Consider the following 16,677-nt stretch of genomic DNA (forward strand, 5'->3'; position numbering starts at 1 on the left):
ATGGACCGGTACCAGTCCATGGTCCAGGGGTTGAGGACCACTGTTCTGTGGTATAGCATAGTAATGCATGTTTACCCTTCCATGTACAATTTTAAAATTTATTTCAAGGATGACGACAACTGTTTTATAGTTGACCTTTGCTAAATCCACTTTTTGTTTTAAATTAAAGTATTACGTTATATGATGCAATTTTATCAAGACCCAATGGTGAGACAGAAACTAACCTCTTTAAGCACCCAGGTGATATGATGTAAGTGTTGAGAATTAGTAAATTGGAGAAGAGAGAAATAGAAGAGGGTTAACGAGCAATAAATGAATGGGAGTACATGTTTAATGAAAATAAACAGGGTGCAAAATGAGTACTAATGTATTTTGGAAAGTGATAGAAGAGGCTTTAGAGCAGGGGTTGATCATCTGGGTTTTTGTCAGTGGATGCCTCTTCAAGATGTTTCTGCAGCCCCAAGACACTGTCCATTGGCTTAGGTGTGCACATCTCACTCTCCTAAAGATAACGGGGAGCACTGCAGATGCAGCCATCTGCATGCCAACAACTGTACGAGTTTTTCCTTTTCAAGGAGTTCTAGTAAATTATCTTTTAATGGTGATCATCAGCCACAATTGCTGTTTTCTGATAAAATAAGCATATGCTGGCCAGGCTGCATAGGGTTATGAGAAACTGTAATGACATCTGATCTAATTCCAGTACTCAGTCTGGTTTGAAATTCCACATCTTGGCTGGGCACAGTGGTTCACGCCTATAATCCCAGCACTTTGAGAGGCCGAGGCAGGTGGATCACTTGGGGTCAGGAGTTCAAGACCAGCCTGGCCAACTTGGGGAAACCCTGTCTCCAATAAAAATACAAAAATTAGCTGGGCGTCATGGCATGCACCTGTAATCCCAGCTACTCGGGAGGCTGAGGCAGGAGAATCACTTGAACCTTGGAGGCAGAGATTGCAGTGAGCCGAGATCGTGCCATTGCACTCTGCATTCCAGTCTAGGTGACAGAGTAAGACTCCATCTCAAAAAAAAAAAAAAGAAGAAAAGGAATAAAAGAAAGTCCACATCTTGAGGCCAGGTGCTCACACCTGTAATCCCAGCACTTTGGGAGGCTGAGGTGGGTGGATCACCTGAGGTCAGGAGTTCAAGACCAGCCTGACCAACATGGAGAAACCCTGTCTCTACTAAAAATACAAAAAATTCGCCAGGCGGTTGGTGGGTGCCTATAATCCCAGCTACTCAGGAGGCTGAGGCAGGAGAATCACTTGAACCTGAGATGCGGAGGTTGCAGTGAGCCGAGATCGCGCCATTGCACTCCAGCCTGGGCAACAAGAGTAAAACTCTGTCTCAAAAGAAAAAAAAAAGGAAGAAAAGAAATTCCACATCATGAGATGTAGTTGAATAAGGTGACCTCAAAGATACCATCCAACTCTAAGATGTCTTGATTGGAAAGCTTGGAGAGAGTTTAAGGAAAATCCACTGAAATTATTAAAAAGTTGAGAAATAAAACCTGAAAGGAAAGGTTATAGTCACTGGGATTTTTTTTTTTTAATCCTGAAAACAAAATTAAGTAAAAGAGGGGGCAGGCTGCTGCAACAGTCCTCAAGCTTTTAAAAGGCTGTCACACTAAGATTGGTCACCAGCTGTTCTCCATCTCTACTGAGGCCAGGACCAGAGGAAGCAAGCTTCAACTGCAGTGTTTTGGATTTAGATTTGATATAAGGAAAAATTCCCTGACAGCACACATTGTTAAACACTGAAAAGGGTCCTCAGGGGAGATGTGGGAATCTTTCTCTGGAGATATCTGAAAACAGAATAGATTTTCATCTGTCTGACCTGCTTCACCGTAGCCCTGTCCACACACACAGCAGAATGGGTGACCTTTCAGTGTTCTTGGCAACACCATGTGATCTTAAGAGCCTATGCACAAAGAGACTTGAGAAGGCTTAGTTCATCGTGATAATTAAATTGGACTTGAACCTTCTAATCGGCCATAGATGAGATTATCTGTTTTTTAATGGCGTTATTATCTGCCTAAATTATTTGTTGAATCTATAATTTGTTTCCTTGAGCAGATGAACCTGAAATATCTAATAAAATTTTCACAAATTGATTGCTTGGGAGAAAAGAAGGGGGATTTTTTTTTCCTGGAACATAATTAATTCTTAACTTTTAAACTCTTTTGAAATGGCTCTTTTTTGATGAGCCTTTCCCTTGCCTAACAGAGCTGTCAGTCAGAGCGATGTCTTTGTCTTCTCTCTGCCTTGAGCAGTTACCTCCCTGCCAGCCAGCCATGAAATCTACGGGCTCCTGTATTGGGATGTCAGAAAGGCATGCAAATCAGAGCCTGGTTCCCCCTCCTTAGCTGCCCTTTTCTGACTTCAGCTGCTGTTAACATGAGAGAGATGCCAAACGTACGATGAGTGCTGCAAGCACCCGCTGCACCTCACTTGGCGTTGCCGGGTATCATTAAGTGGGAGCAGCACTGGGAAGATGTGGGTATTTGCAGGTCTTTGGTATTGCCTCTCCTTTTGAGAGTTCTTCCTCACTTCTGAGGCACTGACTGCCTTGAATTTCTGACCTGTCTTACCTATTTTTTGACTCCATACACACACAGACACTTCATTCAGGCTCACCCTAAAGTCAGGGCATCTGCCATGCTTGTACCTTATGAAAACAAGCTTGTCCTGTTTGCCCTCTGCCGGAGCACATTCTAGGGAAAATGCCTCAGGTGAAGGCATAATTGTGTTTTTCGAGATTTCAGAGGCCACGTGCAGCCAACTGGGGAGGACGTATTTCGGCTCAGCAGACCTTTCAAGCGCCCCTCAAATTGCAACTGCCTGACTTAATCTAAAGTCAGCCACACTGCTTCCTGAGAAGCCCACAGCCACACCGGCCGCTTCCCTCTCAGCCCCTCAAGATCTTGGGGGTCATCAAGGTTCAGTCCACGCTCGTGCATTTTTCCAGTTTATGTTACTAAATGTTATACAAAATACATGGGTCAGTACTTTATGAATCTTTTCCTTGTGCTGGTATTTATGATAGGGAAATCTTACCTACTTTTGGAAATCTCGTTTTCATAATTTATGTTAAGAAAATGGTTTAGATAGGATTTTGTGTTCCCCCTTAAAGAAAAAAAAATGATGAGACCTACAAGTAAACATAAGATGTTCTCTTTAATTTTATTCAACCTCAAAGTGGGTTGGTTTCAAGTCCCAAACTTGTCATTTGGAAGCTGACAAACCATGTGAGAGCAGTTTTAAAGAGAATATTCTAGAAAGTCATGGCTTTTATTGACGCTGACCAAATCATTTTAGAAATTCTCATTTCTGGTTCCTTCTCTGTACAACTGGGTTAATTATATTTCTTTGCAGAGCACATTGAAAATGTGTGTTAAAAACTTGGGTACATTAAGTATTGTTCATTATTCTGCTTCCCAGTTCCTTTTCTTTAATGAGAAAAAGGGGTGGGGGTGTTTAACAGTTCAACACTCTTATCTCCTGCTAGGAATAATTGCTTGATTTTTTTTAATTGTTTGTAGCACTTCCTGAATTTGATTAATTTCTTTATATTCCATTTCTGTCTTTTCAAGACAGCAATTTCTTTGACTAAAAATATAACAAGGCATGATACTCATTCGCATATAAAAAGTCTACCAAACCTCTATTTATGTTGAAACTTGTTTGTTTTTTGGAAAATGTTCTTCAAGGTCTAGCATTTGAGACCCAAACCATCCAATCCGCTCCATCACAAAGCACTTACAAGTTCTGTGCGATCCGCACAGCTGCATCTCTAATGCCAGAGTAGAGGTTAAAGTCAGTTCAGGTGGTGCCTGCACAGATCTTAGAAGTTCAGAGAATCTGAACAAAAGACAATGGCAACATTTCCATTACAGTGAGGGTTGAAGCACCTCTCGGGCTGAGATTGTAATGAACTCACCAGATGTACCAAGCCATTTAAAACAGCGAACTTCCCTGCACTGCTTGAGCGGTGCTTGCTCTTACGAGACAGCAGGTCTGTCTGTCAGCTGCAGTCAGCACTCTGTGGTTTTTCTTTAGGTTGCTTTAAAAAGCCAGCCCTGTAGGGCACCTAGCAGCATCATGCTGTGTGTGTGTGTGTGTGTGTGTGTGTGTGTGCATGTGTGTGTGCTGTTCTTATCCAAGTCATGCTGTGTGTGTGTGTGTGTGTGTGTGTGTGTGTGTGTGTGTGTGTGATGTTCTGATCCAAGATGTAGTCCCCCTTTGTCCAAAGAAGACTTTCAAGAAAGTTAAACTCAGTATATGACAGGACTTCAACAACAACAAATGAAAACGGAACAGTGATGAGTAAAATGAGTAGGAGGAAGTATTTATTACTTGATCTACATAGAATGAGCATAAATTTAGTTCTGAGTTTCCTGGCAGTAAAGCAAGACAGTGTTAGGTTATGTAATTATTGTTACATGATAAATGAAAGCAACAAATTTATCTGGAAAGACAAACATTTTCCCAGCAGACAATTCAGGCTGAACTTATTTCCCAAAATCTTCTTTGAGAGACACTTAAATAACAATGATCAGTGTCTTCAGCTGAAATAGAAGTACCCTTCACGTGGATGTTTTAAATACTCGCCAGAGGAAGACAAAAAATGGAATATTTAGAGAACACTGTTCTGAAGGAGCAAATATGGTCCCAGTGAGTCTGTTTTACTACTTTTACAAAAAGCTAACTTGCTAGCCTCAAAGAAAGGGTTGTGAATGTGTCCACTGGGTTGTAACATGCTTTGGACCTGGTGGTTTATAGCCTGCTTACTGTTATGTTCTCTAACTTACTGAAGCAACCTTCTGGTTGCTGATTAAGGAAGGATGCTAATCTGAAGGAGGAAGGCTTGGCATTCTGTTTTGAAACTGAGGGGCCCAATCTCCAGAAGGAGGCTCAGTCCACCTCTACACAGAGTTGGGCTTTGGGGGCTTTCAAGAAGGGCCAGTTTTTCTTAGAAGAACTTTTAATCTACTCACAGTTTTAGATGGATATTAGGATCCCAGAGCATGGAAGAAACTTTGAATTTTGAATCAAATATTTGTAATAGAAAGGTTGCATTAAATGCCAGGAGGGACCAGGTGGGAAATAAGTGAGCTGGGCAGCCTGGTACACAGGTCTTCTTTTGTGTCAGTGCTGGACTGGTGAAGTGAAGAGCACATGCTCAGGCTGAAGTGCTCACCACCACTCAGCCCTGGCTGATGCTGCCACATGTGAACAGAGGCCCAGTATTGTCCGATCCTCCAGTTTTTCAGGAGAGGCTGGAAATCTTGTTTTTACAGAAGATCTGATCAATTAGAAAGATGGGCTGAAAAAATTTGTTTTTTGCACTTTTGCAGGCCAAACCAAACACATCTATTATCTAATTTCAGGTTAAGGGTTTTGAGTTTGCAGCCTCTAAGTCAAGGACTTACTGTCCTACTGTCTTTACTATAAAGTGTCCTCAGATTGGCCCAATAGAATTTCAGACTTTTAGCAGAACTGAATCTTGATGTTAAAAAACAGTTAAAAATGCTTTCCCAATGAGCTGATTAAACTGACCTAGTAAGTGGGAATGGACCACTTTTTCCGATTTAATTGGTGAAAGGCTTTTTTCCTGCCTGAGTGATTCTCATTCCAGAATAGTTCATGTTAAGCTGGTTTCTTGCGCTAATTATGCAGCAAGTGCACTCCATTTCTTAAATTAGTACATTTATGGGCCAGCATCATGAGTAATCACATCTATTTCATCAAATGCCACAGTCTGAAGTCTGTGTTTGTAGGCAACCTGGTATGCTACGTGATGGTGATTCTGAGATATGTGATTAAGGCAGAGTTTTGGAGAAGGGTTCATTGAATAGTGTACTCAAGTGATTGAGTTATATGACTGTTTATATGTGTCTGGTCAACTCTAAGCAAGCAGGAGTAACAAAAATATTAAAAGTATTGAATTGTTATATGCCATGCATTGTGCAGAACGCTACGTATTACCTCATTTAACCTTTACAAAGCTCTTTGAGTTAGATATTATCATTATCATCATCATCATCGTTCCTACTTTACAAACATGGGTACTCTGCAATGTTAAGTTTCTTAAATAACGTGGCCTTAGGTTCCACAGTTAATACGTAGTAGAGCTCACATGCAAACCCAGGAAGTCCGGCTCACATCAATGCTCTCTCCCTGCCCAGAGCCCAGTTCTATACCAACATAACTTTTTTTTTGAGTGTTAGAAAACAAGTGTTATTTGGGACACCACAGTCCCTTGAAAGTCTAATGACAAGAAAGGACAGAATGCAAAGGCAGCAAGGAATGTGCTTGTGTCCCTACCCCTGTTTTCCCTCTTCTTCTTCATCTTAGGCATTCAGATATGTAATATGAAAAAAATCTCCTGAAATGTACACTACCTGTGGGCCGAAACACATAACAAGCCTGATGCTCCCACTGAGACTCAGGGCTCACAATTCTTTATCAAAAATGACAGCTGGAAGTAAACCTGTCCTGAATTTTCTTAGTTTAAGGGCACACATTTCCTATTCCTTTCTAGACAAAGGGAGGAGACCAACCTACAGCTTGTAAGCCAGATTGAATATTGGTTATTGTGGCAGAGGTATGGTTTTAAATAGTTCAGTACAGGGAGATTAATACAATATTATGCTAATTTGCTTAGTATCCAATGTCTTCTGTAATTATTAATATCATCAGACTTGAGTATTGTTTTTATTAGGAGGGACCTTCTATCAAAGACCTAGTCTAAAATACAACTTCCTTTTTATTATTCATGGTTAAATCAATGATAGCTATTTGGCAGAGGTTCAAAACTATCCCTGTTAACTTGTTTTTAATGGTATTTGATTTATGTGTGTGCCCAAACCTCCCACATGTGTGTGGATGTATATTTACTAATTGCAGCTATATACATTTAAATACAGTGTTATTGGTAGAAAATGAAGCATAAAGCATGAGCAGTGTATAATTATTAAGGAGATGAAATTATAGTCTTTAACTCCTTCCAGAACAGGGATTTTTATAACGCAGCTTTGATTGTTTTTTATTTCAGATGAGCAAAGTTCCTGGATACTTCTGGTGATCAGTTTCTTACCTTTCTAACTAATTGTAAAATTTTTCCCTGTGGTGGACATAAATGAATTAGCACATTGGTTTGCCTATTAATATATGCTTTTTCTTTGGGCTCATGCTGCCCTCCCCAACTAGGAGGCAGGTGGACACCTCAGAACAAGATTGAAGCCCTTGGAGAGTTCCCTCAATGAGAGAACGTCTGTTGCTTTGCTTATTTTTCTAAGCTGATTTTATAAACAAAGAAGATAACAGCATCTAATACCCATGACGTAACTTGTTCAACATTGAATGCATTTGTGTGTGTACTTGTAATTGTCCTGTGAAATGCTTATCATTCATGATATCTGAATTTTATTTTAGACAATCCATGGACACAAGGGACCAATCACTGCAGTGGCTTTTGCTCCTGATGGAAGATATCTTGCCACCTACTCAAACACTGACAGCCACATTTCTTTTTGGCAGGTAAGAGTAGATGCTCCAGGGTCTTAAAGCATATACTGCGTGATATGCCTTTGGTAGTAAGCCTTCCTGTTGAGCCTACCTGCCGGCCCTCCTTCCTGTCCTCCCTCCCTCCTTGCAGCAAACATCCAGTCTGTATTGATTGCTGATGATGTGCCAGGCACTAGCATGCAGGGTGCTGAGAATACAATTAGCAATCTGGAAAGAGGGGCATCTGCTCTCATGGAGCTTGCAGTCTGAAGTAGACATACATAAATAAGCAAGCAATTATGGTCCCAGGGGAGCCTGAGAATAAGGTGGTGGGAAGGCTTTTCAGGGGAAGTGACACCTAAACTGAGGCTTGAGTGATGTGGAGGAAGGGCTCAGTGTTCAGGGTGGGTCAGGAGGTGTGGGTGGTTAAGAAGGGGGCACAGGTGCATGAGTAGCCGTGAGCAAGGGCCGGCATGTTTGAGGGCCTGGCCTGAGAGGAATCGGGCAGGAGAAGCCTCGCTGGCTTCAGCTATTCATTTACACGAGGCCTTCACACTTGGTCCCTGGGTCTGTGACTCTAACAGGGTGTAGGGCATAGGATAATAAGGTGTTTTCCTAGTGTTCACCTCATGTCCCTTTTATAATTATCTCATTTTTCTTTGCATTCTGAATTTCCCACATAATACTCATAATGCTCAAACTGTTCAGAACATTTCTTAAGATCTCACGTAGTCTTTGGTAAGCAGTTCATGAGAATGCCTATGTTTAGTTCTGAATAAAATGAACATTAATTTTGAGCAACTAATTTTGGCAATAGAATATGTTTGATCCTCACTGCTTAATTTCTATCCCATCTTCTTTTTAATTACCTTACTCTTTTAGTCCTGAAAATTACCAAGAAATTAAACACCCCCAAAAAAGTTAATTTAAAATTTTGTTGTTACCTTTATTTTCTTAGAATGCCAGTATGTTTTATGAGATTCAGTTTATTGCTTTGAAATCTAAAACAAAACAAAATAAAAGTTTAAACAAGGCTTCAGCATAACTGGGTGATAGTTGGAAAAAATCAATAGGTAATAAAATGTAAAATGGATACAATAAATTACTTAAGTAACAACGTGCTATTAAAGCATGACAACTTCAAAATCTGTCAGACTTCTTCTACTTTTATCTAATTTAGTTTTCCAGTTTATTTTCTCATTAGCCTTTCTTCCAGAATATATCTCCAGCATCTTAATTCGCTCATATTAAACTCCCTTTATCAGAGATCTCACCCAGCCCTCATTTTCCCAGTGAGTATCCACAGCACTGGTGTTTTCCACTCCTGAAATTCCACAGTGATTCCATTAGGTGTCCAGAAACTGGGCTTTTGCAGCAGTGGTTCTTTAAGGATTTTACCTACTGATTTTTTTGGGGTCCCCCCCGCCGCCACTCGTGTCTAACTCAATGGCCTCTGTTATGTCAGCTGTACCTTCATACAAATTTTCTTTTATTTCCTGTTCTCTTGGGATCTTGGAGGAATATTTATATAAAGCTCCACTCATTCCACATTTATTGGATGTCTGAGTGGTAGGTACTGGCCTGTGCATTAGAGACACAGAGATCAGTAAGTCATGGGTCCGTGCTTGCCAGAAACCTGTGTTCTGTCCAGGGTTTCTTCTTTGGAATAAACAAACAAAACATCTCTTTTTTCCAACTTTCTTTCTGCTAAGAAAACATAATTTCTTATATAAGAAATACCTCACATATTAGCCAGATTTGAAACTTTTCCCAGTATTTTCAGGAGTATTTTAAATGAAATTTTCTAAATGTTAAATTATCTTTTTCCCCTAAGATCTTCAAGGTTTTATTTGGATATGCTCATCCCTTCCTTGAATATTTTTCTATTTATATCAAAATTACTGCCCAGGTCACTGATGGGATTATGGGTAACATCCTTTTCACTTAGAGACCAAGCTCGTTTATTAGATGGCTTCCTTTTCAGGTAACATCTTTTTGTCTTCCAGTTCCTCTCTGAAGCCTCCTGCTGTTGACTCTGGGCTTTGCCAAGCGCACTCACATCTGTGTGCCTGGACACGTGGCTTTGCACACAGTGGGGCTGCAGTACATGTCCTTAATCCACAAGCTCACCTACTCCAAGGGCTGCTTCCTGTTATTTGCACATGCCAAAGCCAAAGCAGCCCAGGCAACACCCAGGTCATTCTTGCCTCTAAAACCAATGTCGGAATTTAACATACAGCCCATTTCTTCATGTTTATGTTGTACCAAACTCAGTCTTGAAATTTTAATGGAAGATACAAAAACAAGTCCTTTCAGCTTTCTCAGGAAAATGCAATGAAATCTCTTCCAGAATTGTAGTTGTCTTATTTGAATTAAGAGTCCAAAAAACAGTATTAGATCTACTGCTGCTCTCCCCAAATGGGCTTTGCTGATTTATTTAGATACATGTTGTTTCGTTGTAATGATGTATCAGAATACTTTTATATTATTCCAGTAAGTGTACTGTAATATATTTTGAAAAGTTAATGAAGTCTTATTAATACAGAGCCTTACTAAAGCTATCAGCTATTAAAATCTTTGCTGAGAAATGAGTGTTAATGAGAAATATTGGTTGGATAATTACTCAAGTGAGACTTAGTAAGGTCTGTGTGCAGCATTACTTACATTGGGAATAGCATTAAAACATTTCCTGTTGTGATGAATTATAGCTGTGTTTCTGTGTGTTCAGAAAATAATCTTCAAAGAACCAGTTTTGTGAAGCGTTTATTTTTGAAGGGAAGAAAAAAGCCAAAGTTACACTTGAGTGAATTTACATTCTCATCTATCAAATGATGTAATTTGGCAGTCTTTCAAGCCCTTTGATTTTCTAACCCCGTTTTCTACAATTTGAATATTTCACTTCTCTGTATCCATTGGCATTTGAGCAAGAGGAGGAGTTTAGTAATGAAATACAGTCACAATTCTCTCACCCAAATCTTACCACCACTGTCCAGCAAATATCCTTTTTCAGAAATGCTGATAATAAATTAGGTAGATACTGGTTTCGTTTATTTTTATTTACTCCATTGTATAGTAGAATACTATTCAGCCATTTAAAAGGAATAATGTAAATTTGTAGTCATTAACAAGAGAAGACTGCCATCAGCATTTTGTTGAACAAAAAGGCAAATTATGAAACTACATTTTAATATAAGCTTGTTTATATAAAATTTATTAACTCTGCTTCTCTTCATCTTTATGTATATGTGGAGGTCTGGAAGGTTGTTTACCAAAATTTTAACAGTGACTGTCTTTGGGAAAAGATATTTCAGGGGTTTTTTGCTTTCCTTTTTGTACTTTTCTTTATTATTTGAATTTTCCACAATGAGTATTTACTATCTTTGCAATCAGGAAAAAGTGAATGTTACCAAATCTCATAATTCCACATAGTTTGCATTCATTCAAGGCTCAAGATGTCCTTACTCGAGCATCGTTTGTATCCAGTCGCTGTTCAAGAAAACATTAATATTGAAAAAATTGTTAGTTGTTTCAGAGAGAGTCATTTGTCTGAGTTTATTGGAAAAATTAATACCGTTACTATAATACTTCACATTCATGCCGAATTTGAAGAGGTCATAGGGAAAGGATGATCTTGAGCAATGCATTTTAGTGAACATGGGGGTCTTTATCGTTCCACATGTTATGTCCCTTACAGGATTTCACATATCCCTATTCTCAGACAGGAATAGGGATATGTGAGCTATGATAGTTATGTCCCTTATAGAATTTCACATATCCCTATTCTCAGGCAGGAATAGGGATATGTGAGCTATGATAGTTATGTCCCTTATAGAATTTCACATATCCCTATTCTCAGACAGGAATAGGGATATGTGAACTATGATAGTTATGTCCCTTACAGGATTTCACATATCCCTATTCTCAGACAGGAATAGGGATATGTGAGCTATGATAGTTATGTCCCTTATAGAATTTCACATATCCCTATTCTCAGACAGGAATAGGGATATGTGAGCTATGATAGTTATGTCCCTTACAGGATTTCACATATCCCTATTCTCAGGCAGGAATAGGGATATGTGAACTATGATAGTTATGTCCCTTATAGAATTTCACAAATCCCTATTCTCAGGCAGGAAGGCTATTTGACCTGACCAAAGGCATTTATCAAAGTAGGGATGGCTCAGGTTATAAGAGGAACCCAGTTGTAATGGCCTTTTCTAAAATCTTTACATCTAGAGTATTCCCATGAGATATTCTCTCCCTTTTCATGTTTAGCTCTCAACCCATTTTTTGTTCCTGGCTAAATTTGAAGAGAGGAATTAAAAATAAGGAAGTGTCTGAGCATTATATGCCCCTTGCATTTTGAATTACCAGCAGAAGTCAAGCTTCATACATATATTCATAGAAAATCCATAAAGAATGAAAAATACCTTGTAGTTATTTATCAACTGAGAAATTAGATTTTTTCTAAAACACACTACGCCTGTTGATGCCAGTTAATGTTAACCAGCAATCTTCTGTGTCATTTGGATCTATCAAATTAAGCTCATCATCATTATTTATATTTTAACTATTTGGGAACATCCAAGAAAGCAATAAGGCATTGATTTTTATCTTCTGTGAAGTTTTTGGGAAAAGGAGAGAAGGAAGCAAAGAAACACGCTTCTGAAAGGGTGACAGTAAGGAACTGCCTGGCTGGAAACAGGAACCGAACTTTAACAGAAAGAGTTAACAATAACCATACATTTGGTTTTAAAATGTGACCTCGTACACTAGTGATTTTTTTTCACCTCTGTGTTGTGTTCAGCGCTATTATTAATGCAGGAAAATCAGTAACATTAGTCATCTTAAAAGGGTTATTACTCAAGATGATTTAAATTGTGAAAATGTCAGTGGAGCCTGCACACACTCTGCTAGAGATGCCATGATTTACGCCCTCTGACACCATCCTGCTGCTGAGAAGGGCTAGAAAAAGGAATGGCTTGTGTTTTGCACTGATCCACATGCAGGGGATGATGTCAGTGATAACGCATCTTAAATGTCCTAGGATTTGCCAGAGTTTCATGGATCAACCATTTGTAGATGTTGGATCATAATCTGCATGCTTCATGCAAATCTCTAGAATCTTACATCGAGATGGAGGTTATACTGGAGAGAAGCATTGGAAATGAAAATTAGTACAAAGAAAAAGTGTTATTTCCAAGGCTTCTTTCCAGATTTTCAGTATTCTTTCCATGTGATATTATAATAGCACACATAATGCTATTGAAGATATTTTAAGTAATATTTAGAATCTAAAGAAATCTTCAGACTCAGTTGCTTAGGAAACAGTTCACTTAGACAGCTACCATTCAGTATTTAGTACTTCAACCTGAATGCATAGTTGTTCATGATTCATAATTTCCATGTTGTTTTTCATTTATGTGGCTGGATTAAGAAAACCTAAAATTTAAATCCAGAAAAACTGCCAAAAAGCAGAAGTTATCAATTGATAAAAAGGTATTGTCAATAAAATATTAACAGCAGACTCTCCTTAGTATGATAGCAAAACAGTGAGGCACAGACATAGTGTTGAGATGAAATTGATTCTGGTTCTGCACTTTATAATAAGCAAGAGCTTTCCAGAAAGCGAGTTTTTAAAAAGCAAGTGAAGAGTGAAGGTATTAGTAGGTGGGAAATGGGGGTGGAAGGGAGTCTTGAGCTTTATTTGATCCAATTGTCACTCTATCTACTGCTTAACTTTGCTTCCTTTTCTTGAACTAATTACAAATCCCAAAACTTGTCTTCGCTGACTCATCCTTCAGGGAGTGAGTGCAGTTAGCATTGTGGTAAAGAACATGAAAGTCTTCAGTTTTAAATATCCACAATTTCCAAATATCTGTGTTGTCTAAATGAACCATTTTATTAAGAGGTATAATTTAGCCCTCTTCCTAAAGATCCATGGACTCTCCTTTTGTCAGGTTCTACCCCTATAAAATTCCTCTAGATTTCTGCATTTACCATAACAGCATCGGAACAATTCCAAGCACACTGAAAGGAACTTTTGAGAGGTTAAGAACAAGCTTAGGTGAAGGAGAATAACCATGATGGAGGGGAAAGTAGCCAGGAGAGATCGACCCAGTCTCTGTGATAGGGAAAGGGAGAGGGCTGTTCAAGTGACACATGTGCTCTCCTGTCCCTCCAGATGAACACGTCACTGCTGGGAAGCATCGGCATGCTGAACTCGGCACCTCAGCTGCGCTGCATTAAAACCTACCAGGTGCCCCCTGTGCAGCCCGCGTCCCCCGGCTCCCACAATGCCCTCAAGCTGGCCCGGCTCATCTGGACTTCCAACCGCAACGTCATCCTCATGGCCCATGACGGGAAGGAGCACCGCTTCATGGTCTAATGCTGCTGCCTGCCGCCGTGACTGCGTTTTAGTTCTCTAAATTATCCAAGCCGATGTTGCTCTGTCCTTCCTCACACCAGATTGTTCCCAGGGGCCTGCCCACCCCAGTGCCATCCAGTGGCACGGCCGGGTCTTGTCACTTGTGCATGCTTCTCAGGGGCAGAACCCGCTCGTGCCATCTGTCGATTCAGAGGCACGCACACATGCTCTGCAGGATGTGGCCATCCTGTCACCAGGTAGTTTTTCCCTGCCAGAGATGGCAGGGGAAAGCCAGTGGTTCCTGGGAACGCTCTTGTTGCTTGGTGCAACAGAAGCACAAAAATCAATAAACACTGTGATTGCACTCCCAGCCCAGATCAGCATTTTTAGCCATCTCAACCGCACCTCTGAAGTGCTGCTTGAATCTGGCCGTTCTGACACTGGGTGTTGAGGTCATGTGGCAGTCCTCACGATTGAAATTATTGCCCTTTGAATTACCTAAAATATTGTTTACCAAAAAGATTCTGTGTTTACATGTTCTTTTCTTCTGGTGATTGCTAGGAAATTACTCAATCCAATTTCCTAGGGTTTAGCTACCACCTTCTTTATCAACAGCTAACCAATTTGAGATTCATGATTAATTATGTACACAAAAATATTTTCCTTGTAGAAAATAGTTTTCCAGACACTTAGCCTTCTGAAGTGCTCATCTCTTGCTTAAATGATAGTCTATTTAGTAGTTTAAAATAAAAATAATCACTCCCTATGATCTAGTTAATGTAATTATCCAGTCACTGTAACTAATCTCTTGAAGGGACTTTTGTGATAAAGAGCCAAGTTCAGAAGCATAGCGTGTACCGAAAATGAAGACTCTCCTATCTACTGCTACAGATCCTGTTGAAGAAAGAGCTTACCCCTTTCCCCCGGAAAACTTGCAATCCTGTAGTTCCCATATGTGTGGCATATGTCAGTTATGAAATTATTATAATTCAGCCTTCAAACTACTACTGATCAACTAAAGGAAAGCTAATAAGGTATTTCTTTTAAACAAGTATTCTGGAAAAGTAATAACTATGGCACAAATGTTCAGGAGTGTATATAAAAATATGTGGGCTCTCGATTTATTTGAGCAAACATTGCAATGAGGGTGTTCATTATGCTTCTAAGTAAGCTTTAACTAGACCACTTTCTTCTTATGTCAGATTGTGCTGGTTCTAGCTCATAATAATGAAAAAAATAGAATTATATTTTGTATGAATTGTTTCTAACAAACCTTGATCTGTATATACTTGTGAGGGGTTGTTTGGTTGCCTAATTGTTGATTGGTTGGTTAGTTGGGCAAAATCATTTATTACATGCAAAAATAGAAAATTATTTGTTAAATTCAGAGAAAATATGTGAAGTTTACAAAGGAACCAAAATGATAATGGGAGAATTTAGTCTTAAAAGTTTAGGTTGTCAGAGTTTATCTGATATACAAAAAAGTAGGATCAAAGTCTAGGAACAAACATTGGTTATTTCACTGAAACAGATTTTTAAAGAGCATATTAAGAAATTAAGACCATTAGATCATCTCTTTCATAATGATATGATGTTATTTCCATTGACGGCAAATCTATACTGTTCCTTGGTTTTAGAGTTGGGTATTCTTTCAAAAGTGAATTTAGGCACATGCATGTACATTGTATTTATAAAGATTATATATGTAGTTTCCAAGGAAGAAACAAAGACCTATACAGTTTAGACTTTATTTGTTTGGTGAACGTGCTGTTGTGTTTGGCATAGCTAGAGAAATGTAAGGTAAAAGGCTCACTTTGTTTTCCAGTGGGTCCAGAGTCTTCTCTATACCCAACATATGTTTACTTTATGAACTTAAATGGAAATTAATTTATTGTAGACTACATCTCTATTTGGAATGATGAGGTAAATGTATACCTTAGCATTTTCTTTAACAAAAATGTTCTGTGTGTCAGGAAAGAGGTGTGAGAGTGGTAGGCAGCCTGCCGCAAACACACGGATGGCTCCCCCCGCCACGAAGGTTGAGAACAAAGCCAGGGGGCCCAGAGGAGCAATAGCCCTGGGCCACAAGCGTGGGTAGGCCTTTCACGTATTCCGTCTGCACAGGCAACCAAGGCCAGTAGAAAGCTATGGCTGCAAAACCCTGGGGTGGACGATGTTTGATGATTAGACGGTCATCTCTAACTACTAAACTAATATCTGCATTCTTGTTAACATAAATCTCTCCTTGGCTATTTTAATAGCCACAGTCCCAAACTTCATCCCAGCTTAGATTTCTCAGCACTGAGGTAAACTCTGCATTGTCATCCCAGCGTACACCTTTAATGTTTTATTGATTTCACTGGCACTGTATTTGGACCTGTCCTTGTATATGTAGAGACATATGTGGCTTCATTGGTAATTTACAAGCAAAAGATGACATGACGTGACACCTGTATGAAAATGTGATGATTGAACTCCCTGTGTACAGCGAGTGAATTAAAATGTCTGCCTCTCCAGACATTTCTTAATGATTCCACTTAATAGACTCTATGTGTGCTGAATGTTCCTGTGTACATATGTGTGTTAAATAAAACAATTGTATTGAAGACTGTTTTTCTCACAATATTACCTTTTCCAGTGTTCACTCATCTTAAACATCCTCAGTTGAAATCCGTATGCTCCGCTAGCCCTGCTGCTTCTAATCATTCATTTCCCTGGAGAGCTGGCTTGGGAAAGGCAACTTATTCCCAGAGGACAGTAGAGCAGAAGTGCAGAGGTAAGCTCTCCCTCCAGAAACTCAC

General features: G+C 39.4%; 1 protein-coding gene across 9 annotated transcripts in view; it reads left to right on the plus strand.

Moving 5' to 3' along the window:
* The window catches only part of WDR7 (WD repeat domain 7), a 385,248-nt gene that overhangs the window by 361,952 nt on the left and 6,619 nt on the right, over positions 1–16,677 (plus strand). For 5 of the 9 annotated variants that reach the window (NM_015285.3, NM_052834.3, NM_001382487.1 and 2 more), the window contains 2 exons: positions 7,435–7,539; positions 13,694–16,482. In NM_015285.3, the coding sequence (NP_056100.2) occupies positions 7,435–7,539; positions 13,694–13,897 (309 nt within the window). In that variant the 3' untranslated portion in view covers positions 13,898–16,482. Of the gene's footprint in view, positions 1–7,434; positions 7,540–13,693; positions 16,483–16,514; positions 16,653–16,677 lie in introns of those variants that run through there. The other 4 variants (XR_007066131.1, XR_007066132.1, XR_007066133.1 and 1 more) reach the window with 1 other exon arrangement.

The sequence above is a fragment of the Homo sapiens genome, chromosome 18 (genome assembly GCF_000001405.40).
Source record: "Homo sapiens chromosome 18, GRCh38.p14 Primary Assembly".
Classification (NCBI taxonomy): Eukaryota; Metazoa; Chordata; class Mammalia; order Primates; family Hominidae; genus Homo; species Homo sapiens.